The sequence below is a fragment of the Homo sapiens genome, chromosome 2, assembly GCF_000001405.40.
Source record: "Homo sapiens chromosome 2, GRCh38.p14 Primary Assembly".
NCBI classification, from domain to species: Eukaryota; Metazoa; Chordata; class Mammalia; order Primates; family Hominidae; genus Homo; species Homo sapiens.
In genome coordinates, this window is record NC_000002.12 from 76,778,327 (window position 1) to 76,805,663 (window position 27,337).

Below are 27,337 nucleotides of genomic sequence, written 5' to 3' on the forward strand. Positions count from 1 at the left end.
AAGGAATGGTACCAGTTCCTCCTTGTACCTCTGGTAGAATTCGGCTGTGAATCCATCTGGTCCTGGACTCTTTTTGGTTGGTAAGCTATTGATTATTGCCACAATTTCAGCTCCTGTTATTGGTCTATTCAGAGATTCAACTTCTTCCTGGGTTAGTCTTGGGAGAGTGTATGTGTCGAGGAATTTATCCATTTCTTGTAGATTTTCTAGTTTATTTGCGTAGAGGTGTTTGTAGTATTCTCTGATGGTAGTTTGTATTTCTGTGGGATCGGTGGTGATATCCCCTTTATCATTTTTTACTGCATCCATTTGATTCTTCTCTCTTTTTTTCTTTATTAGTCTTGCTAGCGGTCTATCAATTTTGTTGATCCTTTCAAAAAACCAGCTCCTGGATTCATTAATTTTTTGAAGGGTTTTTTGTGTCTCTATTTCCTTCAGTTCTGCTCTGAGTTTAGTTATTTCTTGCCTTCTGCTAGCTTTTGAATGTGTTTGCTCTTGCTTTTCTAGTTCTTTTAATTGTGATGTTAGGGTGTCAATTTTGGATCTTTCCTGCTTTCTTTTGTGGGCATTTAGTGCTATAAATTTCCCTTTACACACTGCTTTGAATGCATCCCAGAGATTCTGGTATGTTGTGTCTTTGTTTTCGTTGGTTTCAAAGAACATCCTTATTTGTGCCTTCATTTCGTTATGTACCCAGTAGTCATTCAGGAGCAGGTTGTTCAGTTTCCATGTAGTTGAGTGGTTTTGAGTGAGATTCTTAATCCTGAGTTCTAGTTTGATTGCACTGTGGTCTGAGAGATAGTTTGTTATAATTTCTGTTCTTTTACATTTGCTGAGGAGAGCTTTACTTCCAAGTATGTGGTCATGTTTGGAATAGGTGTGGTGTGGTGCTGAAAAAAATGTATATTGTGTTGATTTGGGGTGGAGAGTTCTGTAGATGTCTATTAGGTCTGCTTGGTGCAGAGCTGAGTTCAATTCCTGGGTATCCTTGTTGACTTTCTGTCTCATTGATCTGTCTAATGTTGACAGTGGGGTGTTAAAGTCTCCCATTATTAATGTATGGGAGTCTAAGTCTCTTTGTAGGTCGCTCAGGACTTGCTTTATGAATCTGGGTGCTCCTGTATTGGGTGCATATATATTTAGGATAGTTAGCTCTTCTTGTTGAATTGATCCCTTTACCATCATGTAATGGCCTTCACTGTCTCTTTTGATCTTTGTTGGTTTAAAGTCTGTTTTATCAGAGACTAGGATTGCAACCCCTGCCTTTTTTTGTTTTCCATTGGCTTGGTAGATCTTCCTCCATCCTTTTATTTTGAGCCTATATGTGTCTCTGCACGTGAGATGGGTTTCCTGAATACAGCACACTGATGGGTCTTGACTCTTTATCCAATTTGCCAGTCTGTGTCTTTTAATTGGAGCATTTAGTCCAGTTACATTTAAAGATAATATTGTTTTGTGTGAATTTGATCTTATCATTATGATGTTAGCTGGTTATTTTGCTCGTTAGTTGATGCAGTTTCTTCCTAGTCTTGATGGTCTTTACATTTTGGCATGATTTTGCAGCGGCTGGTACCGGTTGTTCCTTTCCATGTTTAGTGCTTCCTTCAGGAGCTCTTGTAAGGCAGGCCTGGTGGTGACAAAATCTCTCAGCATTTGCTTGTCTGTAAAGTATTTTATTTCTCCTTCACTTATGAAGCTTAGTTTGGCTGGATATGCAATTCTGGGTTGAAAATTCTTTTCTTTATGAATGTTGAATATTGGCCCCCACTCTCTTCTGGCTTGCAGGGTTTCTGCCGAGAGATCCGCTGTTAGTCTGATGGGCTTCCCTTTGAGGGTAACCCGACCTTTCTCTCTGGCTGCCCTTAACATTTTTTCCTTCATTTCAACTTTGGTGAATCTGACAATTATTGTCTTGGAGTTGCTCTTCTCGAGGAGTATCTTTGTGTTGTTCTCTGTATTTCCTGAATCTGAACATTGGCTTGCCTTGCTAGATTGGGGAAGTTCTCCTGGATAATCTCCTGCAGAGTGTTTTCCAACTTGGTTCCATTCTCCCCATCACTTTCAGGTACACCAATCAGACGTAGATTTGGTCTTTTCACATAGTCCCATATTTCTTGGAGGCTTTGCTCATTTCTTTTTATTCTTTTTCCTCTAAACCCCTTCTCGCTTCATTTCATTCATTTCATCTTCCATTGCTGATACCCTTTTTTCCAGTTGATCGCATCGGCTCCTGAGGCTTCTGCATTCTTCACGTAGTTCTCGAGCCTTGGTTTTCAGCTCCATCACCTCCTTTAAGCACTTCTCTGTATTGGTTATTCTAGTAATACATTCTTCTAAATTTTTTTCAAAGTTTTCAACTTCTTTGCCTTTGGTTTCAATGTCCTCCCGTAGCTCAGAGTAATTTGATTGTCTGAAGTCTTCTTCTCTCAGCTTGTCAAAGTCATTCTCCATCCAGCTTTGTTCCGTTGCTGGTGAGGAACTGCGTTCCTTTGGAGGAGGAGAGGTGCTCTGCTTTTCAGAGTTTCCAGTTTTTCTGTTCTGTTTTTTCCCCGTCTTTGTGGTTTTTATCTACTTTTGGTCTTTGATGATGGTGATGTACAGATGGGTTTGTGGTGTGGATGTCCTTTCTGTTTGTTAGTTTTCCTTCTAACAGAGAGGACCCTCAGCTGCAGGTCTGTTGGAATACCCTGCCGTGTGAGGTGTCAGTGTGCCCGTGCTTGGGGGTGCCTCCCAGTTAGGCTGTTCTGGGGTCAGGGACCCACTTGAGGAGGCAGTCTGCCCATTCTCAGATCTCCAGCTGCATGCTGGGAGAACCACAGCTCTCTTCAAAGCTGTCAGACAGGGACATTTAAGTCTGCAGAGGTTACTGCTGTCTTTTTGTTTGTCTGTGCCCTGCCCCCAGAGGTGGAGCCTACAGAGGCAGGCAGGCCTCCTTGAGCTGTGGTGGGCTCCACCCAGTTCGAGCTTCCTGGCTGCTTTGTTTACCTAATCAAGCCTGTTCAATGGCGGGCACCCCTCCCCCAGCCTGGCTGCCGCCTTGCAGTTTGATCTCAGACTGCTGTGCTAGCAATCAGCGAGACTCCGTGGGCGTAGGACCCTCCGAGCCAGGTGTGGCATATAATCTTGTGGTGGGCCCCTTTTTTAAGCCCGTCTGAAAAGCGCAGTATTCGGGTGGGAGTGACCCGATTTTCCAGGTGCGGTGCATCACCCCTTTCTTTGACTCAGAAAGGGAACTCCGTGACCCCTTGCGCTTCCCAAGTGAGGCAATGCCTCGCCCTGCTTCGGCTCGCGCATGGTGCGCGCACCCACTGACCTGCGCCCACTGTCTGGCACTCCCAATGAGATTAACCCGGTACCTCAGATGGAAATGCAGAAATCACCCGTCCTCTGCGTCGCTCACGCTGGGAGCTATAGACCGGAGCTGTTCCTATTCTCATTTCTCTTATTGATAAATTTCCTTTGTGGCATTTCTATTTTTTTTCCTGAAGAGGACACTTTTTTATCTGCATTAAAAATCTATTCAGGTAAATATTTTTTCTCCTCAATGGTTTTCACAAATTGTATCTGAAAACTCATCTGCTGCCTCTTGATCATCAGAAGCTGCTTCTGCTGTTATATTATCTTGACATTTTTTTAAAGCCAAACCTCTTTCTAAAATTGTCAAACCATCCTTTGCTGACATTAAATACTCAGGCTTTAGATCTTTCACCTTCCTTTTGCTTTAAGTTGTCATAGAATGACTTCATTTTTTCCTCAAATTATATTAGAGTCCATATGTATGCCTTTCTTATAGCTATCTTGCACCCGCATAAAAGCTCCACTTTAAATAAAAGATAAAATGGTATTTTGCAACACATGTAAGATTTACGGGCCTGCTGATGTTGCTGCAGCGATGGCTTCACAAATTTCCTTTCCTTTTTTTACAGTGGTCCTTACACTGGATTCATTTATCTTGAAATGTCAGGCAACTACAGCTACAGATCTAAATCTACAGTACATATCAAGCAATTCAGCTTTTTCTTGTAATTTTATGACTTTTCTTTGCTTGGGAGAAGTTCCAGTATAACTAGTGGTGCTTTCTTTGGGGTCCCATGATGTTATTTAAGGTTTACGATATTGCACTAAACATGTTTTAAGCAAATATTCACAACACTTGAGCTCACTGCAATAGCAACAGGAGGTGACTATGAATTATTACAGCAGTACAGTAATAAATTGCTGTTGGTAATTTTAAGCAGTTATGATTTAATACTGCATCTTTACATTTGTTTACATTTTTTAAACTGCAAATGATGCCCTGCACGGGTCTGTGCTTTTTTGCTTACATTTTGATACCTGTTAACTTTTTCTGATTTTTTTCTATATTTTACAGTTTGCATTTTCAAATCGTCACAAATCTCCAATTTTTCAACATATTTATTGAAGAAATCCACATATAAGTGGATCCACACAGTTAAACCTGTGTTGTTTAAGGGTCAACTGTTTAACACCTACAAGTACATTACATTGATTTTAAATTAGTTACGTATTTTAGAAAATTTAAATCGCTATTGGGGAAGTAATTTAAATTATAGAGTGTTCTTTAGAATTAATCAAATACCATATAACAAATTGTTGAAGCTTTTATTCAAAGATTGTAGATTTCTTAAAAATTCCTTTTAATCTTTATTCTTGTTCAGCCATATATATATATATAAAGCTGAACACACACACCTTAGAGATACACATGCTTAGGTGCAGGAAGTTGCAGTACAAGAATATTCAGACAAGCATTAGTTACAAAATTATCAGAGTTAATTAATATTGGGAAGAATTCATATTCCACCAACATTGAATGAATAAATATATCACATTATTTTCCTCACTACCATGACTCCTACCCCATAGTAAGCAGTAAGCTAAATGTTGTGTTTTCATCAGGTTACGTTGGTGATATCTGGGAATCCACCTTTCCATACATGAAAACAATGCCAATTTTAAATTAAAGGCAAATAATGGTTGGAAAAGTCATTTGTGTTTTATTTAGTATATTTTTAAAAACTTTTTTTAATGGTAAAATATACATAACATAAAATGTACCATTTTAATCGTGTTTAAGTGTTCAGTTTTGTGGTGTGAAATACATTTACATTGTTGTGCCACATCATGACCATCTACCTCCAGAACTCTTCATCTCAAACTGAAACTCTGTACCTATTAAGGCGTAACTCCCCGTATTCTCCCTCCCTGGCCCATGGCAAACGCCTATTTAGTGTAAATTTTGAATTAACATGCTAATGTGAAAAGTTTCTCTGAAACTAAACAAGGAAATTAATTGATTTAATCCTGAATTAAAACTAATTCCGGGTAAAACTCAGGTTACTGAATTTATGAATTTCACAATACCATTTGGCATCCCTATTTCCCGTACAAACCTTTTGCTCCACTTGGATATTTCTTGCAAGTACTTTGCTTATCTGAGATCAGACAAGTAAAAAAGAAATTCAGCAGTGCCGTATATTTTAATTGCAATGTTAATTCTGCACATTTCAGAGTAAGATGGGAGAAGAATGTGTATGATTTGACAGTATAAAATACTCATAATAAAACTGCTTGGTAATATCCAGATGATTCATTAGTAAAAATGTAGAACTGGAGGGTTAAGAAAATGTTTGAATGTTAAACAGAGTTGCTACTTGAATTTTCTATGTTTTATTGTGAAAGTGAGAAAACATAAATAATTATTTTTGGAAAATTATTTTTAAATGTTGTATTTTGAGCTAAAACAATCCCCAAATTCATGATATATTAATATTTATCTGTTTTAATGTTCAGTGGTGGCTGTAATTGTATTACACACACAAAAAGGAAGCATAGGTACCACTAGATTAATGTTTTTGAGAAAGAATCCAATTTCTTTTATTAAATACATTATTCAGATAAATAAATCATAGTACATTAAGCGATGCTTTATAATCCTATGCATACTTTGAAAAATATTATGGAAAAGCATGCTTAATATCATGAGAAAATGTTCATATATATAGTCAAATGGGTGCAAGATTGCTATAAGAAAGGCATACATATGGACTCTAATTACTATGCTACCATTAAAATAATTTGAACACACACAAGTACATGTCTACATATACATAGATATATTATACATAGATATATGAATGCTGTGTTTTTCTCACTGGGTGATAAGATTAAGCTGATACTTAGATTTCTCTTTTGTTTCCCACATAAAGTAAATAAATGCAATATTTTCAAACTAAAGTATCCTATGTAATTTCACTTAAGTTGTATTTACTATGGGGCACCACTGATTTTGAAATGATCAATGTAATGTTCTCTTTATTTCATGCATGAATAGCTTCCTAAGTTCTTATTAATATCATTTTTACACATCTGAACACCTTTATAAAATACCGTAACTGTGCTGGCCAGTAATGTTGTCAAGATTGAATTCTTTTTGTATGGTTTTTTATTTATTTGTTTTCACAAAAATGAAATACTAAATATACCTTAAAGGAAACTAACTGTTCAGCCCAGCATGTAGTGAATGCTTTGATCATAGAAGCAGTTATTTTACACAAAATTAATTCAGTTCGAATAGAGATTCACAATAAACTGAGTGGCAGATTGCACTTCAGAATGTATCACACCAATTTAGGACTTTCATTTTATCCAAATTTCATATGGAAAACTTTCTATAGTTGTCACTCTTATAATATGACTGTATGAACATTGAATCTAGTCTGCAATAAACTATTAAGATGTGAGTCCTCCAAAGATATCTTGCTACACCGATCTTGAAGAAGGAAGTACAAACAATTAATTTAAAATGCTGCTATTGTGTTTGTATTGGCATTTGCAATTGAATAGTCTGCATAAAATTTAGGAATGAAGACTTTAATAACTGATTTGCAGTACTTGTATTGAGAAAATAATTTTCTCAAATGTGGGACTACAGTTCTGCTCCTCAAGTAAAAGCCCATGAAACAAGATCTGATAAAATTAATAATAAGAAGGATTAAGCAAAATAGAGCATCAACTTATAACAGTGTACTTTATAATCTTATACATGTATTTATTAAACTAGCTCAGGAGCACTTCCAGTAAAGGCACATTTAATGAGAGTGAATTTTAGTTGAGATAGAAAAGCAGATCATATGGGTACGTCAGTCTCTAATCAACTTTTTAGTGGTAATCCAGGAAGGATCTTCAATTTAACTTGGAAGGTGTTTCTAGTGTTTAGATTTTCTCCTAGTAATTTAACCTGAACATATGTTTGTAATAGCTTTCTTCATAAAAGGCCATAAGTAGGGTAAGTAGCTAGATAGTATATGTTAAGATATTAAAATAAGACTTTTTTCACCCTTCTCATATTTGTATAATTAATATGTTGCCAATATTTAGTGGAAAATAAAATTGATTTTGATGTATGAGAAGCTTAACAATCCATATTTAAACTTATAGCATGGCTTTAAGCCATCATGTTCTTGGCTTTATTTATAAAGATGGGTATTTTAAAAGACAAGGATCAGCCAGACCTGCAGAGTTGCCCAAGGAAGAAAATGCCTTGTGTGTAGGCCGACCACAAACAAAATGAGCCATGGGTAGAAATATCTGCAGCAAAAGGTAATCAATTGCACTTGACGGACTTCTGAACAATATGCAATTTAACTCAATGATACCTAGCTGCTCCTATCTTTTTAATAGCTTGTGAATTCAGAAGACATAAGTTACATGAGTATCTTGGCAAACTACATTTTCACATTTTCAACCCTCACCTCAACTTCAGCTTCATCTGGGAACTTTGCCATAATTGATAGGAAAAGAAGTACAAATTCTTTTCCATTCATAGAGCAATTTATAAAGAAAGTCTCTAGCCTATCTTCCCAAATGAACCATGAACGATTAAAAATAAGGCACACTTACAGCAATATTTTCCAATTGATCAATTTAAGTTTGAAAATGGCGGAGATTGTATTGGTTAAGAATATTTATAACAGATAGAACAAAGCAAAAAATAAAAATAAAAAACCCACAAATGATGAATAGGCAAATTGGTCCCCCAAGACTCCTAACATTTTTTTAACAGTATTTTTATCTTTTCAGTTCTTATATAGCAATTCTTTCATTGTCATAGAACTCTAAAAAAACAGTAGTTATAATTGAATTAATAAGAATTATGAATATAATATATGCCATGAAGCTCTTTGAAGGAGTTGTCTGATTCAATTTTCTGCTACCTTTTACCTACATTAACAAACAGAGGAAGAAAACCAAAACAAAGCTAAGAGCAGAGAGGTAATTTGGTTTTAAAAATATCTGTGGGAGGTACAGATGCATTCAGACAACTTCCTCCACTTCTTTGATTCCTGCTTTCTAAGTGGTTCCCTTTCAATTTGTTTATATTGTGTCAACAAGTTAGAAGATTGCAGAAAAAAAAAATGCATCATTTTCTTGGTTGACAAACCAAAAATAGTTCATTTAAAGAATACAGAAGGAACTGGAATTTCATATTGCTTTCCTTGCTGTTTCTTTTCTTTGTGCTAATAATAGCATCAAAAATAAAGCCCCCAAGTCAGCAAGTTTTTGACACTCTGATTGGCTGAACACAATGAAAAGCTGTTTGTTAGGCACAAAATTTACCTACATTTTTTTTTTCAATTTCCAGCAATGGTCAGGTGACTTGTGGAACATGAGGGATATCTAAGGGAAGTACATAAGGATGCCCTAAGGAAAATTCCCACTTTGTTATTAATATCTGGAGAAAGACAATACATGTGGCAAGGGAAATGAAAGGACTGTGTTCATGTCATAAAGGAAAGAGTAATCTGTTAGAAAATACATCTCTAATGGAAAAAAGAGAAAGGATGTGGAAAATAAAAATGATCTGGGAAACATGTTGATTGTGTGGGAAAAGATTACTCCAGAAATAATTTAGAATGCACAATTGGCATAAGGAGATTTGGATTTGCATTATAAATATATAGCCTGCTATTACTGGCAACTTCCTGGTCATAATTATTTTCATCTCTTTTCTTTTTATTGATATATAGAGCCTGCTCTGCATAATCTCATACATTGTGTTCTGATACTTTATACATTTCCAGATGTCAACATTATCAGATGGTAAGCCCATTGTCTACTAAGGTCAATACAAAATATTTAATAACTGGGTGTTCAGCTCAAAATGGAGAGTGGAGGTTAAAAACAGGGAAAGGAAAAAAGAAAGGAAGTTTTATGAAGTTAGGAAAATTTTTTTTTTTTAGTGTTTTGGTTAAATTGAAAAAATATTTTCTATTTTGTGAGGATTATTATAGGGAAAACTTTGTGGTTCAGTGGGGAGTTTTGCATTGACTACAGCACACTTATTCGGGTTGATTCTTATCCCATGGGACTTGTTTTGCAACTATGAAAAGAAATTCTTATCTAAAAACAATATAGATATTCTGACAGATAGAGGTTCACTTGATTTTCTTTTCTGTCCAAGGAAAAAGCCAGTTTCTGTCAGTTCATCTCACCAGTCCTTTAGGCAAATTTGTGCTCCTTTGACTTCTCTGAGCCAATTAGAATATCTGCCTGGCACCCTCATTATGAATTAAGTAAAATCTTTAACATGAATTGCTTTATGTCTGTATGATATTAATGATTTTTTACTTTGAAATATTTTATTTAACAAAGTTAATATATGTAAAAACAATTAGAACCTTCTCTGGTAGGAAAAGATGAATGAATGTTACTGTTGTTACTATTGTTGTTAGGAGACAGCATTCTTGATTCTTAGTGCTCTGATACAATCATGATTAAACTGAAGAAGGTCAGTCTGTAGTAGGAGAACCAAGTAAATAAATAGTTCCAGTAGAATGTGTTAACATATGTAATTGAGGTAAGTACAAGGTCTAATAGAAACATAAATAGAACAGCAATTGACTATGCCTTAGCGGTTGAGAGGGGACAACATCTGAGAGTTAGACAAGAAAAGGAGTCACATAGTCACATTATTTGCCCTAGATATCCGTCTTGAATAACCATTATCAGAAATTGTAAAATTATGAGCAGAATCAAGGCAAAGGCAGAGAGTGAATAAGCTTTCTTTTACTCAATCAGAACAAAAATAAGCTTTAACACAAGGTCACGTTTACTCGTACTAGGAAGTCAGCAAAGATACAGAGTGTAATGCTCTCTATTTAACCTGTGTAGACTTAGCAGAGGCTGAGATTAATGATAGCCAAGGAAAAATAAGAGAGATAATTTCAGAATAAGTGCAAGGAAGTTTATAATGCAAGTTTAAGCTTAGATCAAAATTTAATGGTGACTTTTTAAAGGTAATCATAAGAGAGAAAAGTAATAGCACAATCTTGTAGGACTGTGTGTCTTTGTTCAGTGTCCTTTTATATCTATTCTATCAATGTGATTTCAGAAAGAAGACCCTGTGAATTTTTAGGGGGGAGGAAGTAGTAACACTATTTTATAGTTAAGGACTCAAACATAGAGAAGTTTTTATATTAAAATCTGTGATAATAATGATAAATGTTTTTGTGTCTATGGGGTTTATAGTTTCCAAAATGATTTCTGGATGCAGTGTTTCCTTTAATTCCCTAACCACTGGTGGAAAAAGGTTTTATTTTCTACATTGTACAGATGAGAAAGCTGAGTCTTAGAGACATAAAACTTACACTGAGTTAAACAGCTAATGCTTGGCACCCTGCTTCTCTGGTTGTGCATGCTGTGCTTTTTCTATTACAAAATGATTCTTAGTAAAAAAAGGAACCCTATACTTTAGAGATGCTAAGTTCCAGCCCACGCTGCACTCACACTCCCTACCTCAAAGGGAGCACTCTCAAGTGGGGTTGCCACCACCTGGAAAGGATGCCTGCTTTGTTTTCTTCACACCAAGGCACCTTATGTGCTAGCAGTGGCAGTGATGAAAGGGAATACAAACAGCAGGGAGAACACAGGAAAAAATGGCCAAGTAGGTGATATTTACCTTCAGAATTCTCCACTTCCATGTTCCATACCACTGCTGTCCCTCGCAGCCTCTTGACCTCACCACCCACCTCTGCTCTAGTGACCTCTCTCTTTTCCCAAAACAATCAACTTCAAAGAGTAACTCGAACACCATGCGTTGTATGACAGGACTTCTTTGGAGGGCTTCTGGCTTGATAAATACATGAATTAAGAGGAAAATTCAAAAACATAATGAGGGTTTGTTTCTGAGGTCCTGTGGCACCAGCCACATACCTTTTTATAATAGGTTGTATTTGTTTGTTTGTTTACTTAGTGTGAACATATTTCTTCTGGTCAAACCTACTCCATGGTTCCCGCTCCCCATTTATTCTTGAGTCTGTTTCACAATCATGGAAAGACTCTGTATCATGAGGGAGGAGTGTTAATCTGGAATAACCAAATTCCAGGTTTTCAAGCTTCTAGATAAAGGTTTCAAAGAGATGGAAGTCACAGAGAACAAAGGCATGGTGTCTTCCCATTTTATTATTTTTTCCATATTTCCTGGGTGGGAGATAACTGAGTCTTTTTTACTTTAGGGAAATTATCAGCACTCTTCTTTTTTATCTCTAGCTCTCCTTCTATTTCACTTTTAGATGGGTTGGTCCTGTCTTGCAGTCCCCAGGACAACGGGTTGCTTGTTTGGATGAGTTGCCTGAGGTGTGTGTCGTTACAGGACAGTTCTACTGTGGGAATTGGATAAATGTTCCCTCTTGTTCATTCCTTCTCTTAGATTCCCTTCATCTTTTCACCACTGTCTGAGATCTTTCCTAGCATCAGAGATTTTGGTTTACTTTTAGAATTACCAAAGCAGTTTTTCCCAGACTTAATGAAGAGGATACCACAAGGTTAAGCCTAGTCCACTACACTTCTGTTCTAGGACTATGAGTTAAAGTTCAAACTAATAATGAGACAGTCATTGGTTCTGCTTTGTCAGTACGGTGGTATGGGGATATGGTGCAGGATCTTCATGGATTGCCTCTATTTCTGAGGGATTTTTTTTTGCCTCTGAATAAAGAAAGAAACATATTAGGAGTTCTAAATTTTCAGTTGGAAAGATCTTGATTAGGAACTAATTCTCTCTGGACTCCTACTGCCTAGGTTGGAATCTCAGCTTCTTACCTTTCTAGCAGTATGATCTTGGGCCAGCCTCAGTTTCTTCCTCTTTAAAATGAGGAAAATGGAAACTATTTCAGAAAGTACTTTGGGGTTTAAATAAGAAAAACATGTAAAATCCTAATAGTGTTTGACACATAGTAGCACTTGATAAGCATTAGCTATTAATAAAATAATTCCCATTGCTATTTCTCGTGGATAGCATTAGAGCATCTGAATTTGGGGAACAGTATCTTGTAGTGTTACTTAATTGGATAGACCCCCCCCCACCACCTCAGTGAAATTTAACAGGCAAAATGTCAGTATCTTCCAGTTGATGTAAATCTACTCTTTGATCAAATTTGATATAATTTCACTGTTTCTGCCATAGAAACAATCTAATATCAGACTTGGCATGTTTCTCTACTAGAAAACATGATGTAGGCAATGATGCTGTCTGACTGAATCCCACAGCAGGTTGTATTAGTCACTGAATACTAAGCTGTTATAGTGGAAGAATGTGTTTCCATATTTCACTTTAAACATGGAAAACATGGTCCACAGAAGGTATGTTTCCAGTTACATGATAAGCTAGGATGATGGTTACAATGATAAAGAGGTAATTTACTGGGGCTATAACACTGGCTGTTACTTTGATGGCTTCACAGGATCCAGAATGGACATTCTCTTGAATCTTGCTGTGACATAAGGCTACTTCTTCTTAAGTGAAAACTAAAGACAGAAAATGATAGAACCACAGGGCATTAGAGCTGGAAGTGATCCAGGCATGTGGCTTGCCAAAACCCTAACGTGACTCAAAGACAGGTGGAAAAGGCTTCACAGAGCACCTTACCATCCTCTACTGAGATTATTTCAATAATATTGGGAACCATCATTTATCTGAAGACACTTGCTCCAACATTCCCATGTAGATTTGTAGATTTGAAACTCAGTGAAAGGCATTTTGACTATAAAATTAGAATGTAAGTTTCATACATAATTATGAGATGATTTATCAGAGAATTTAGAGGAAAAAATCCAAGAACTTCACTTAGATACTGAGAAACAACAAGGAAGACAAGGGACTCGAGTATTTAGGAAAGAAATGGCACACCTCTACTTGAGCATAAATATTCGGAGAGCAATAAATCTCATCCTACTCCATTTACAGGACAAGGGGAAACACAGTAAATGCTTCAGAATTATACACAAAACTTTCTTAAGCTGTGAGAACCAGTTAAAGACAATTTCAGTACTTATTATAACCTCATATGGAGAAATGCCACAGTGCAAACTGGTGACAGAATCGACATGTAGAACTACATTCTACAGATATACAGCAGATAGGCTGCAGGTTTCAGAGGTATACTTACTTATTTTGCCAACAGTATTTGTCACAGGAAATCAAGTCAAAACATTGTAATAAGCTAGTTTCCAATATGAAATAGACTTTCAAACCCCAGAGAATTTTTGAGGAAAAGCAAAATGAAAAACCAGACAAAAAATTCTTAACTAGCTTAGCCTATCACCCACTCATGTTTTTGTATCAGATCTGGGTCATAAATTTCATTACTTTCCAGTTTTCTCCATTATATTGTTCCATTTCAGAAAGAAAGTCAGCTCTTATTTATCTAAGCATGCAAACCTGGAGGCAGGCAGAATACTTAAAATATAAATGCCCATAGTTAGAGAAATAGAGTTTTTCTAGTCCTAAAAAAGAGAGCTTACAGAGTAAGAAAAGACGATCATATACATGGCTTTTGGTACAATACTTTACCTGTAGTATAATTATGTTTCAGAATTTAAAAAATGTTAAGTCGGCTTAAAAACAACAAAATAACCATTAAAAAAACCTTCACTGTTTAAGATGAAAGTCATAGGCTGCCACTTTACACATTAAGTTAAATACCAACCCCCAGAGACCAGGAATATAATAAAATGGAGGAAAGTGGTTATAGAAGGCTAATGTTCCACTCTAGGAATCATCTACCTGACACATCTTTCATGCAAAACACTCTGCTGGGAACTATGGTAATCCAAAGATAGAAGGATATACATCAATTCCTGAAGAGTTTGTAGTATATTAGGAAGGCGTGTGTGTGTATCACATTCAATCATATACTGATGGCACAAGGTAAGTTATATTAATTCTTCTAGTAACAATCAGAGAATAAAGTGTGTGATGCAAGAGAAGCTGCTTTATGGGTAGTAATGTTGCTCCTGCTAATGATCAATTCTCTGTTGAATACTAGATGAAGACCCTCTTATAGACTTGTAGAATTCTTTGTGCCACTCTCCCTACTTCAGTACATTTTTCCTGTAAATGCCAGGCGCTAAGGACTTTCAACTCCTTCTCTCCTCAACTTAGAAAATTAGCTTGTATCTGGTTACTTCCTGCACTGTGGCTTGGAAGCACATTCAAAGCAGTAAACTGGAGCGAGATCACTCTTGCATTGCTTAATGTCCACTGTCCTGAAAACCATCGTTTCATATATTTTCCCTGGGTTTTTGGTTGTTAGGGGTGGAGGGTGAATCCTGTCTCTGTTACTTTGTCTTGATGGAAAGTGGAAGTCTTCACTGATTCTTTTCTACTACTACTCTGAAAATATTACACACTTGCCAGTGAGAAAAATCAAGGCTTTAGCAGTATTAAATAACTTCCTGAAAGTCACATAGAACTTGGAATTACAGGTTAATATTTTCCCTCAAGTCTTTAGGCAAGTAGACCCAGGGGTACCTTGAATGAGGTGAATAGTGTAACCTATTTATACTCTAGGTTTTACAGAAAACACTCATCTCTTGGTGTTGTCAATATTGTTCATTGTTCCTTGACCTTTCCCAGTATCAGAGTGTTTAGATACCAAGGGTGTGGGTCATGGGTTAGCAAACAAATGCCTCTGGCTATTCAATGACAGAGTTGAGTAGATGGGACATAGATTTTCTTGGCCACAAATCCTAAAATATTCACTCTTTGGCCAATTACTGAAATCGTTTATCAACTTCCAAAGCAAAAGAATCAAGTATTTTTTTTTCAGACTGACTTTGTTCTATCTACTTTAAGATAAGTAGGATTTTGATTAATTATTTGTGGACAATATCTAGGCATCAAAGAGCTACATTGTATTTTTATATGAGAAGCCCCCTGGTAATAATGTAGAACTTTCTCCTCTTCACTGTGCTCTCGGTAAGTTAAGTTTTGAGGGCTACCAGGAAAAAGCGCAAAAGAGGGAACACAGGATATGGTAGATGAAGAGTCAGTGATTCACAGGTTGCCAGCCTTTGCAAAGTGTCTTCCATTTCATCATAATTGGGCACATTTTGCCCACCAGTATGAACTTATAAACAGTGAATTGAGATCCAGGAGGCAAAGTGCTGATTTCAGATAAAACTCAGACCTCTGAGAAACAAACACCTGTGTTGCTGTAAGCCTGTAAGAAGGTCACAAATACAATTCGTATGATCTAGGGAATACAGTATTAGTGGGACAGTAATTGCTTCTATGGGACACAGAAAAGATTTCTAAGACTTCAAAATACTGGTGCAACAATGTCCCACTTACATTTTGGAGAATATTTTTCTGTGTGTCTCTAATAGTAATCTGTATAAGCCAAAACTGGGCTAGGGAAGTCCAACCAGGAACTAAGAATTGTAAAAGCGGTTGTCAGTCTCCTGAGCCACATCCCACATGGAGCGAAGATTTGATTTTATGGAATGATTGATGAGCAGTTCATATGTAGGCCAGAGGTGAGTTTACTTCAGAGTAACCAGAGATTACTATGTAAGCTTATAGCTTATTGAATCAGACCTTGTTAGATTACCTGATTGTTTCTTATACTCAGAAGAGAGAAGGAGCTGTGTCCTTAGATCGGAGATAACAAATATCTGCATTAGTATGAAAGGAAGTTATGTGTCAGAGAGGAAAGAAAGTGAACCTTAGGAAAAACAAAGGATTGGGTATACCACTACAGTCCCTAAATACTGCTATATGACTAATCGGCTTTACCAGATATTCCAGCTATTTTGTTATAGTTGTGAACAATAGTTTTTTCTTTCTTTCAAAATTTCACTTATTACTGGTATAGGCAAACATTTGCACCTCTTCTATATTCTATCTAGACTTAATTGAATTGCTTTATTAATTCTATATGCTTTTTATTGATTTTACTAACCAGGCACCTATACCATTTTCAAAAAGCAATAATTTTATCTGTTTTCCTAGTATTTACATTTTTTTGTTTATTTTCTTCTTATTCCAGAGCAGGGTTTTTCAAACTTGACATTAGTGACATTTTTCACTGGCTAATTCTTTGCTATGGTGTACTGTCTTGTACTTTTGTGGGATGTGTAGCACCATCACAAACTGTACCCACCAGAGCCAGTAGCATCAATCCCCCAAGTCAGACAATGAAACTGACCCTACTTATTGCCATAGGTCCCTCTAGAGGGCCAACATTTTTCTGATTAAGAACCACAGTTGTAGAAAAATTAAGATTTAAATGCTAAATTTAAACAATAGTGTGTAGACACTGATAGAAGAATATCTTAATCTAAGGGTGGCTGTAACTTCACTAAAAGCTATAAAGAAAAATATTACCAGATTTTATGCAAATAAAGATACTTCTGTATGGCAGATAGTAAGCTAAAGTAAAAATACCTTTAACATAGACGGCAGATATGACATGCTCAATACCGAGAGATTTACTAACAATAATATTAAAGTGGACAAAATATATGAATAGGCAATGATCAGCAAACATAGAAAAAGGTGCCCGAATCCACAAATAACCAAAGAAATTAAATTAATGAAAAGTGTGTTTTGTACTTTAAAAATCATTTTTAATTGACAAATACAAATTTCATATACTTATTGTGTACAATATCTTGTTTTGAAATATATATGTAGTTCATCTTTCATGTCTGTGAGTTCTATATCCATGAATTTAACCAACTTTATATAAGACAATTAACAAAAAGTCTATACTGAACATGTAAAGATTTTTTACTGTCATTATTTCCTAAATAAAACATTGTAATGACTATATACACAGAATTTACATTGTGTAGGTGTTAATAATCTGGTGAGTATTTAAAATATGAGAGCACTACATATATACCATATGCATATACATGTATATGCATATATACATGTGCATATATATGCACACACACACATACACACACACTACATTTTCTTTATCCATCCATTGATGGACACAGGTTGACTCCATCTCTTGGCTATTATGAATAACATTTCAATGAACATGATGGGAATGTAGCTATATCTTCTACATACTGATGTCGTTTCCTTTGGATACTCATTTTATGAGGCCAACATTACCCTGACACCAAAGCCAGATCAGGGCACTATCAGAAAAGAAAAGTGAAGGGAGGAGCCAAGATGGCCAAATAGGAACAGCTCCTGTCTACAGCTCCCAGCGTGAGCGACGCAGAAGACGGGTGATTTCTGCATTTCCATCTGAGGTACCGGGTTCATCTCATTGGGAGTGCCAGACAGTGGGCGCAGGTCAGTGGGTGCGCGCACCATGTGCGAGCCGAAGCAGGGCGAGGCATTGCCTCACTTGGGAAGCGCAAGGGGTCACGGAGTTCCCTTTCTGAGTCAAAGAAAGGGGTGATGTACTGCACCTGGAAAATCGGGTCACTCCCACCCGAATACTGCGCTTTTCAGACAGGCTTAAAAAAACGGCACACCACAAGATTATATCCCGCACATGGCTCGCAGGGTCCTACGCCCACAGAGCCTCGCTGATTGCTAGCACAGCAGTCTGAGATCAAACTGCAAGGCGGCAGCCAGGCTGGGGGAGGGGTGCCCGCCATTGAACAGGCTTGATTAGGTAAACAAAGCAGCCAGGAAGCTCCAACTGGGTGGAGCCCACCACAGCTCAAGGAGGCCTGCCTGCCTCTGTAGGCTCCACCTCTGGGGGCAGGGCACAGACAAACAAAAAGACAGCAGTAACCTCTGCAGACTTAAATGTCCCTGTCTGACAGCTTTGAAGAGAGCTGTGGTTCTCCCAGCATGCAGCTGGAGATCTGAGAATGGGCAGACTGCCTCCTCAAGTGGGTCCCTGACCCCAGAACACCCTAACTGGGAGGCACCCCCAAGCACGGGCACACTGACACCTCACACGGCAGGGTATTCCAACAGACCTGCAGCTGAGGGTCCTCTCTGTTAGAAGGAAAACTAACAAACAGAAAGGACATCCACACCAAAATCCCATCTGTGCATCACCATCATCAAAGACCAAAAGTAGATAAAAACCACAAAGACAGGGAAAAAACAGAACAGAAAAACTGGAAACTCTGAAAAGCAGAGCACCTCTCCTCCTCCAAAGGAACGCAGTTCCTCACCATCAACAGAACGAATGACTTTGACAAGCTGAGTGAAGAAGGCAGACGCCTCAGGAGCTGATTCGATCAACTGGAAGAAAGGGTATCAGCAATGGAAGATGAAATGAAGCGAGAAGGGAAGTTTAGAGAAAAAAGAATAAAAAGAAATGAGCAAAGCCTCCAAGAAATATGGGACTATGTGAAAAGACCAAATCTACATCTGATTGGAGTACCTGAAAGTGATGGGGAGAATGCAAACAAGTTGGAAAACACTCTGCAGGATATTATCCAGGAGAACTTCCCCAATCTAGCAAGGCAGGCCAACGTTCAGATTCAGGAAATACAGAGAATGCCACAAAGATACTCCTCGAGAAGAGCTACTCCAATACACACAATTGTCAGATTCACCAAAGTTGAAATGAAGGAAAAAATGTTAAGGGCAGCCAGAGAGAAAGGTCGGGTTACCCTCAAAGGGAAGCCCATCAGACAAACAGCGGATCTCTCAGCAGAAACCCTACAAGCCAGAAGAGAGTGGGGGCCAATATTCAACATTCTTAAAGAAAAGAATTTTCAACCCAGAATTGCATATCCAGCCAAACTAAGCTTCATAAGCGAATGAGAAATGAAATACTTTACAGACAAGCAAATGCTGAGAGATTTTGTCACCACCAGGCCTGCCCTAAAAGAGCTCCTGAAGAAAGCACTAAACATGGAAAGGAACAACCGGTATCAGCTGCTGCAAAATCATGCCAAAATGTAAAGACCATCGAGACTAGGAAGAAACTGCATCAACTAACCAGCAAAAGAGCGAGCTAACATCATAATGACAGGATCAAATTCACACATAACAATATTAACTTTAAATGTAAATGGACTAAATGCTCCAATTAAAAGACACAGACTGGCAAATTGGATAAAGAGTCAAGACCCATCAGTGTGCTGTATTCAGGAAACCCATCTCACGTGCAGAGACACACATAGGCTCAAAATAAAAGGATGGGGGAAGATCTACCAAGCCAATGGAAAACAAAAAAAGGCAGGGGTTGCAATCCTAGTCTCTGATAAAACAGACTTTAAACCAACAAAGATCAAAAGAGACAGTGAAGGCCATTACATGATGGTAAAGGGATCAATTCAACAAGAAGAGCTAACTATCCTAAATATATATGCACCCAATACAGGAGCATCCAGATTCATAAAGCAAGTCCTGAGTGACCTACAAAGAGACTTAGACTCCCACACATTAACACCCCACTGTCAACATTAGACAGATCAATGAGACAGAAAGTCAACAAGGATACCCAGGAATTGAACTCAGCTCTGCAGCAAGCAGACCTAATAGACATCTACTGAACTCTCCACACCAAATCAACACAATATACATTTTTTTCAGCACCGCACCACACCTATTCCAAAATTGACCACATACTTGGAAGTAAAGCTCTCCTCAGAAAATGTAAAAGAGCAGAGATTATAACAAACTATCTCTCAGACCACAGTGCAATTAAAATAGAACTCAGGATTAAGAATCTCACTCAAAACCACTCAACTACATGGAAACTGAACAACCTGCTCCTGAATGACTACTGGGTACATAACGAAATGAAGGCACAAATAAGGATGTTCTTTGAAACCAACGAGAACAAAGACACAACATACCAGAATCTCTGGGACGCATTCAAAGCAGTGTGTAGAGGGAAATTTATAGCACTAAATGCCCACAAGAGAAAGCAGGAAAGATCCAAAATTGACACCCTAACATCACAATTAAAAGAACTAGAAAAGCAAGAGCAAACACATTCAAAAGCTAGCAGAAGGCAAGAAATAACTAAAATCACAGCAGAACTGAAGGAAATAGAGACACAAAAAACCCTTCAAAAAATTAATGAATCCAGGAGCTGGTTTTTTGAAAGGATCAACAAAATTGATAGACCGCTAGCAAGACTAATAAAGAAGAAAAGAGAGAAGAATCAAATAGATGCAATAAAAAATGATAAAGGGGATATCACCACCGATCCCACAGAAATACAAACTACCATCAGAGAATACTACAAACACCTCTACGCAAATAAACTAGAAAATCTACAAGAAATGGATACATTCGTGGACACATGCACTCTCCCAAGACTAAACCAGGAAGAAGTTGAATCTCTGAATAGACCAATAACAGGAGCTGAAATTGTGGCAATAATCAATAGCTTACCAACCAAAAAGAGTCCAGGACCAGATGGATTCACAGCCGAATTCTACCAGAGGTATAAGGAGGAGCTGGTACCATTCCTTCTGAAACTATTCCAATCAATAGAAAAAGAGGGAATCCTCCCTAACTCATTTTATGAGGCCAGCATCATTCTGATACCAAAGCCTGGCAGAGACACAACCAAAAAAGAGAAATTTAGACCAATATCCTTGATGAACATTGATGCAAAAATCCTCAATAAAATACTGGCAAAACGAATCCAGCAGCACATCAAAAAGCTTATCCACCATGATCAAGTGGGCTTCATCCCTGGGATGCAAGGCTGGTTCAATATACGCAAATCAATAAATGTAATCCAGCATATAACCAGAACCAAAGACAAAAACCACATGATTATCTCAATAGATGCAGAAAAGGCCTTTGACAAAATTCAACAACCCTTCATGCTAAAAACTCTCAATAAATTAGGTATTGATGGGACGTATCTCAAAATAATAAGAGCTATCTATGACAAACCCACAGCTAATATCATACTGAATGGGCAAAAACTGCAAGCATTCCCTTTGAAAACTGGCACAAGACAGGGATGCCCTCTCTCACCACTCCTATTCAACATAGTGTTGGAAGTTCTGGCCAGGGTAATTAGGCAGGAGAAGGAAATAAAGGGTATTCAATTAGGAAAAGAGGAAGTCAAATTGTCCCTGTTTGCGGATGACATGATTGTATATCTAGAAAACCCCATTGTCTCAGCCCAAAATCTCCTTAAGCTGATAAGCAACTTCAGCAAAGTCTCAGGATACAAAATCAATGTACAAAAATCACAAGCATTCTTATACACCAACAACAGACAAACAGAGAGCCAAATCATGAGTGAACTCCCATTCACAATTGCTTCAAAGAGAATAAAATACCTAGGAATCCAACTTACAAGGGATGAGAAGGACCTCTTCAAGGAGAACTACAAACCACTGCTCAAGGAAATAAAAGAGGATACAAACAAATGGAAGAACATTCCATGCTCGTGGGTAGGAAGAATCAATATCGTGAAAATGGTCATACTGCCCAAGGTAATTTACAGATTCAATGCCATCCCCCTCAAGCTACCAATGCCTTTCTTCACAGAATTGGAAAAAACTACTTTAAAGTTCATATGGAACCAAAAAAGAGCCCGCATCGCCAAGTCAATCCTAAGCCAAAAGAACAAAGCTGGAGGCATCACACTCCCTGACTTCAAACTATACTACAAGGCGACAGTGACCAAAACAGCATGGTACTGGTACCAAAACAGAGATATAGATCAATGGAACAGAACAGAGCCCTCAGAAATAGTGCCGCATATCTACAACTATCTGATCTTTGACAAACCTGAGAAAAACAAGCAATGGGGAAAGGATTCCCTATTTAATAAATGGTGCTGGGAAAACTGGCTAGCCATATGTAGAAAGCTGAAACTGGATCCCTTCCTTACACCTTATACAAAAATCAATTCAAGATGGATTAAAGACTTAAACGTTAGACCTAAAACCATAAAAACCCTAGAAGAAAACCTAGGCATTACCATTTAGGACATAGGCATGGGCAAGGACTTCATGTCTAAAACACCAAAAGCAATGGCAACAAAAGCCAAAATTGACAAATGGGATCTAATTAAACTAAAGAGCTTCTGCACAGCAAAAGAAACTACCATCAGAGTGAACAGGCAACCTACAAAATGGGAGAAAATTTTCACAACCTACTCATCTGACAAAGGGCTAATATCCAGAATCTACAATGAACTCAAACAAATTTACAAGAAAAAAACAAACAACCCCATCAAAAAGTGGGCGAAGGACATGAACAGACACTTCTCAAAAGAAGACATTTATGCAGCCAAAAAACACATGAAAAAATGCTCATCATCACTGGCCATCAGAAAATGCAAATGAAAACCACAATGAGATACCATCAATGCTCATCATCACTGGCCATCAGAGAAATGCAAATGAAAACCACAATGAGATACCATCTCACACCAGTTAGAATGGCAATCATTAAAAAGGCAGGAAACAACAGGTGCTGGAGCGGATGTGGAGAAATAGGAACACTTTTACACTGTTGGTGGGACTGTAAACTAGTTCGACCATTGTGGAAGTCGGTGTGGCGATTCCTCAGGGATCTGGAACTGGAAATACCATTTGACCCAGCCATCCCATTACTGGGTATATACCCAAATGCCTATAAATCATTGCTGCTATAAAGACACATGCACACATATGTTTATTGCAGCATTATTCACAATAGCAAAGACTTGGAACCAACCCAAATGTCCAACAATGATAGACTGGATTAAGAAAATGTGGCACATATACACCATGGAATACTATGCAGCCATAAAAAATGATGAGTTCACGTCCTTTGTAGGGACATGGATGAAATTGGAAATCATCATTCTCAGTAAACTATCGCAAGAACAAAAAACCAAACAGCGCATATTCTCACTCATAGGTGGGAATTGAACAATGAGATCACATGGACACAGGAAGGAGAATATCACACTCTGGGGACTGTTGTGGTGTGGGGGGAGGGGGAAGGGATAGCATTAGGAGATATACCTAATGCTAGATGATGAGTTAGTGGGTGCAGTGCACCAGCATGGCACATATATACATATGTGACTAACCTGCACAATGTGCACATGTACCCTAAAACTTAAAGTATAATAAAAAAAAAAGAAAAGTACAGGTTAACATCCCTGGTGAACATGTATGAAAAATCCTCAGCAAAATATCAGCAAACTAAATTCAATAGCACATTAAAAGGATCATTCACCACGATCAAATGAGATTTATGCCTAGGAAGCAATGATGTGTCAACATACCAAAATGTATAAATGTGATATGCCACATTAACACAATGAAGGACAAACACCATAAGATCATCTCAATAGATGCAGAAATGCATTGGACAAAATTCAACATCTTTTCATGGTAAAGACTCTTGAGAAATTAGATATAGAAGGAATGTACCTAAACAGAATAAAGGCAGTATATGGCAACCCCATTGCTAACATCATATTCAACGGTGAAAAGTGGAAAGCTTTTCCTCTAAAACCAGGAACAAGACAAGGATGCCCACTATTGCCACTTTTATTCAATACAGTATTGAAAGTCCTAGCCCGAGCAATTAGGCAAGGGAAAAGAATAAAAGTCATCTAAACTGGAGAGGAATAAATTGAATTGTCCCTATTGTCAGACGACATGATCTTATATACAAAAAATCCTAAAGACTCCACCAAAAAAAAAAAAAACTGTTAGAATAAATAAAGTAAGTAAAGTTGTAGGATATAACAGCAAAATACACAAATCTCTAGCATTTATATATACTAACAACAAACTACACAAATAAGAAATCAAGAAAACTATTCCATTTACAATATCTACAAGATAGTCTTAGGAAAAAATTTAACCAGTGAGGTAAAAGATCTATATACTGAAAACAAAAATAATTGATAAAATAAATGGAAAGGGCCACAAATTAATGGAAACATATCCTGTGTTCATGGATTGGAAGAATGGAAACCGGAAAAATGTCTATACTACTACAAATGATTCAATGTAATCCCTATCAACATTCCAATGGCATTTTTCACATAATAGGAAACAGAATTGTACAATTTATATGGAACCCTAGAAGATCCCAAAGATCCAAAATATCTTGGTCCAAAAGAACAAAGCTGGAGGTATCATACTACCTGACTTCCTTCAAAGTATACTACAAAGCTATACTAATCAAAACAGCACAATACTGGTATTAAAAACAGACACATAGGATAGAGAACTCAGAAATACATCCACATATTTACAGTCAATTGGTTTTTGACAAAGGGACCAAGAATTCACGATGGAGAAAGGACACGCTCATCAATAAATAGTGTTGGGGCTATTGGATATTCATTTGCAGAAAAATGAAATTAGATTCTTTTCTTATACCATACCCAAAAATAAACTCAAAATTGATTGAAAACTTAAATGTAGGACCTGATACTATAAAACAAGTAGTAGAAAACAGGGGATAAGCTCCATGAGATTGGTCTGGGTAATGATTTATTTTTATTTTTTGCATATGAACAAAAAAGTATGGGTAACTAAAGCAAAAATAGACAAATGGTATTATATCAATCTAAAAAACTTCTGCATAGCCAGGGACAGAGTGAAGGGACAATCTCCAGGATAAAAGTATTTGCAAACCACTTATATCATCAAGGGTTAATATCCAAAATATATAAGGAACTCAAACCACTCAATAGCAAAAAACAAATGACCTGATTTTAAAAATGGGCAAAGAATCTGAATAGACATTTCTCAAAATAAGACAAACAAATAGCCAATTAATATATGCAAAAATGCCCAACATTACTGATCATCAGGGAAATGCAAATTTAAACCAAAATGAGATATTACTTTACACCTGGTAAAATGGCTATTATAAGAAAGACAAAAAAGTACATTTTGGCGAGGTTGTGGAGAAAAGCAAACCCTTGTACGCTGTTGATGGGAATGTAAATCAGTATAGCCAATGTGTAAAAGGATATAGAGGTTTCTCAAAAAATTAAATATAAAACTAACAGATGATTCGGCAATACCGCTACTGGGTACATATCCAAAGGAAATAAAATCAGTGAAAAGCTTTTTAAAGAGTAATTTTTTAAAGAGTATTTGAAGAAAAGAGTTAACATGGCATGTCTACAAATGCTATCCTCATAAGATCCTGCCTACAAGTTACAAGGGTTAACACTTGGCTGGCATCTGGGAACTTGGATATTGTGAAGGTTTCCTTCACCATAACTAATAACAGTGGTTCACGGTCCCTGAAACATCTGTACAAACAATATGTTTTATGCTATGCCAAAAACCTGATTTTCCTGTGGAAGTCTGAAATTTGAATATGTGCTGGATAGAGGGTACCTACATGACTAGCACGCAACAAAAACTTGAAGACTGAGTCTCTAGTGAGCTTTTCTTGTAGACATTTCCCATGTGTTGTCACAACTCATTGCTTGAGGAATTAAGCACTTTCTGTGTTACTCTGGGACAGCCTCTTGATAGCTTGCACCTGGTTTCCTACAAAGTTACTCCGAGTGCTGTTTTTCTTTGCTTTGTGCCATTTTGCTGCAGTAAGTTGGACCTGTGAGTGTGACTACATGCTGAGTCCTCCAAGTCTTCCTACTAAACCTGGAGATGGTCTTGGGCACCCCTGACACAGAGTGATAATACCTTTGTTGAAGATATTATGTAGAAACAGGCATTCTATTGTATTCTGAGATTTTTTAATTTGTTATTTCTCAAGAATCCTTTGGGACTATGTATCAAAACTTGTTATATGTCTACCTTTTGATTTGATAATTGCGTTGCTTGAAATTTTATTTGAAAACATGAGAACACACATACACACACACAGCTTCTCAGTGTTATTCATAAACAGAAAACACTGGAGATTATTCACCATACAGGACTGGATAAATAAGTTATGACACATCTAAGTATCAGCCATATTCTGTCCTGATTTTTGGTGTATCTATTTTAACCGGCTGATGCCCTTTTTCATGCCCTGTTAAAATATTTTATCATTTCCACTGGGTACATCTGTACAAGATACTATGCATACTATACATATGCATAGTATCTTGTACATATATATACTATATATATAGTAAATATATAGTATAAAAAATATATATTTATACATATATTTGATATACATTGATGTATATATAAAACAATGATATATCATGTTTTATATATATATCATTGTTTTATAACAATATATATATCATGTTTTATATATATATCATTGTTTTATAACAAATTATTAAACAGACAAGCACTTCTCAAACTGCTCAAAGTTTGATTTGTTAATAGATTTTTTTAAAGCCTGCCACAAGATAATTTAGGTGAATATAGAAAATCATATCACTAAATAGCAGAACTTTGACAATTTTCTAAATATTTGAGTTGCCTGTCATTTATGATAAAAATGAATAGGCACCCATTGTCATAAAGCGGGAGATTGACTATGACCTTTGTTTTATTTTTTATTTTTTGGCCTGACAAAGCCCGTTCTTCTCAAAACCTCTTGAAAAGCTACTTAAACTTTTAATGAAGATTGAAGCCTCATGGAGACAGGAATCAAGGCCCTTAACCTCTTTGTTTAGAGGTTGGATGGTCTATAATTTTAATGAGTGGAGAATATCCTAATGAAATTCCACTTGTGGGAAAAAGCCCTAAAAAATTGTGTACAAACATCCCAATTGAGATGGCCAGGGGAAAGGTACATTTACTTATGATGGAACCAAAATTGTGTTGGCATCAATTTGTCTGCCACAGCCAGTGAAAAGCAAGGGATAATGGGATAAACCATTGATTTTTAAAAGAAAAAACTACTTAAATAAACTATCATTTTATATAAAGGTGACAAAAGAGGTTCTGAAATATTCAGGGGCTCAAGTAACATATATTTAAACATATTGAAGATTTGCTGTAGTGACAAAGAGTTAGTACAATCAGAAATTTAGGACATACATCATGTAGATCAAACCTACTGAAAATATATTAAATTCTCCTTCTACCAGTGAGAACAAGGAAGCATATACTTAATTGAGTGTTCATTTAAATTAATGTTTTTAGGGCAATTCATAATGATCTTTTCTTTAGTTTAATGCTA

The 27,337-nt window shown here is 36.9% G+C and overlaps 1 protein-coding gene across 4 annotated transcripts in view, besides 2 other annotated features; it reads right to left on the reverse strand.

Annotated features, from left to right (window-relative positions):
• The window catches only part of LRRTM4 (leucine rich repeat transmembrane neuronal 4), a 774,692-nt gene that overhangs the window by 30,642 nt on the left and 716,713 nt on the right, over positions 1 to 27,337 (reverse strand). The gene's annotated exons all lie outside the window — the stretch shown is intronic.
• Positions 2,578 to 3,170: an enhancer, noted in NCBI's record as "NANOG-H3K27ac-H3K4me1 hESC enhancer chr2:77008030-77008622 (GRCh37/hg19 assembly coordinates)". NCBI's record gives its function as "activates a minimal SCP1, AML or CMV promoter by ChIP-STARR-seq in naive H9 embryonic stem cells {active_cell/tissue: H9 hESC(naive)}" and the evidence as "EXISTENCE:reporter gene assay evidence [ECO:0000049][PMID:30033119]".
• Positions 17,768 to 18,318: an enhancer, noted in NCBI's record as "OCT4-NANOG-H3K27ac-H3K4me1 hESC enhancer chr2:77023220-77023770 (GRCh37/hg19 assembly coordinates)". NCBI's record gives its function as "activates a minimal SCP1, AML or CMV promoter by ChIP-STARR-seq in primed H9 embryonic stem cells {active_cell/tissue: H9 hESC(primed)}" and the evidence as "EXISTENCE:reporter gene assay evidence [ECO:0000049][PMID:30033119]".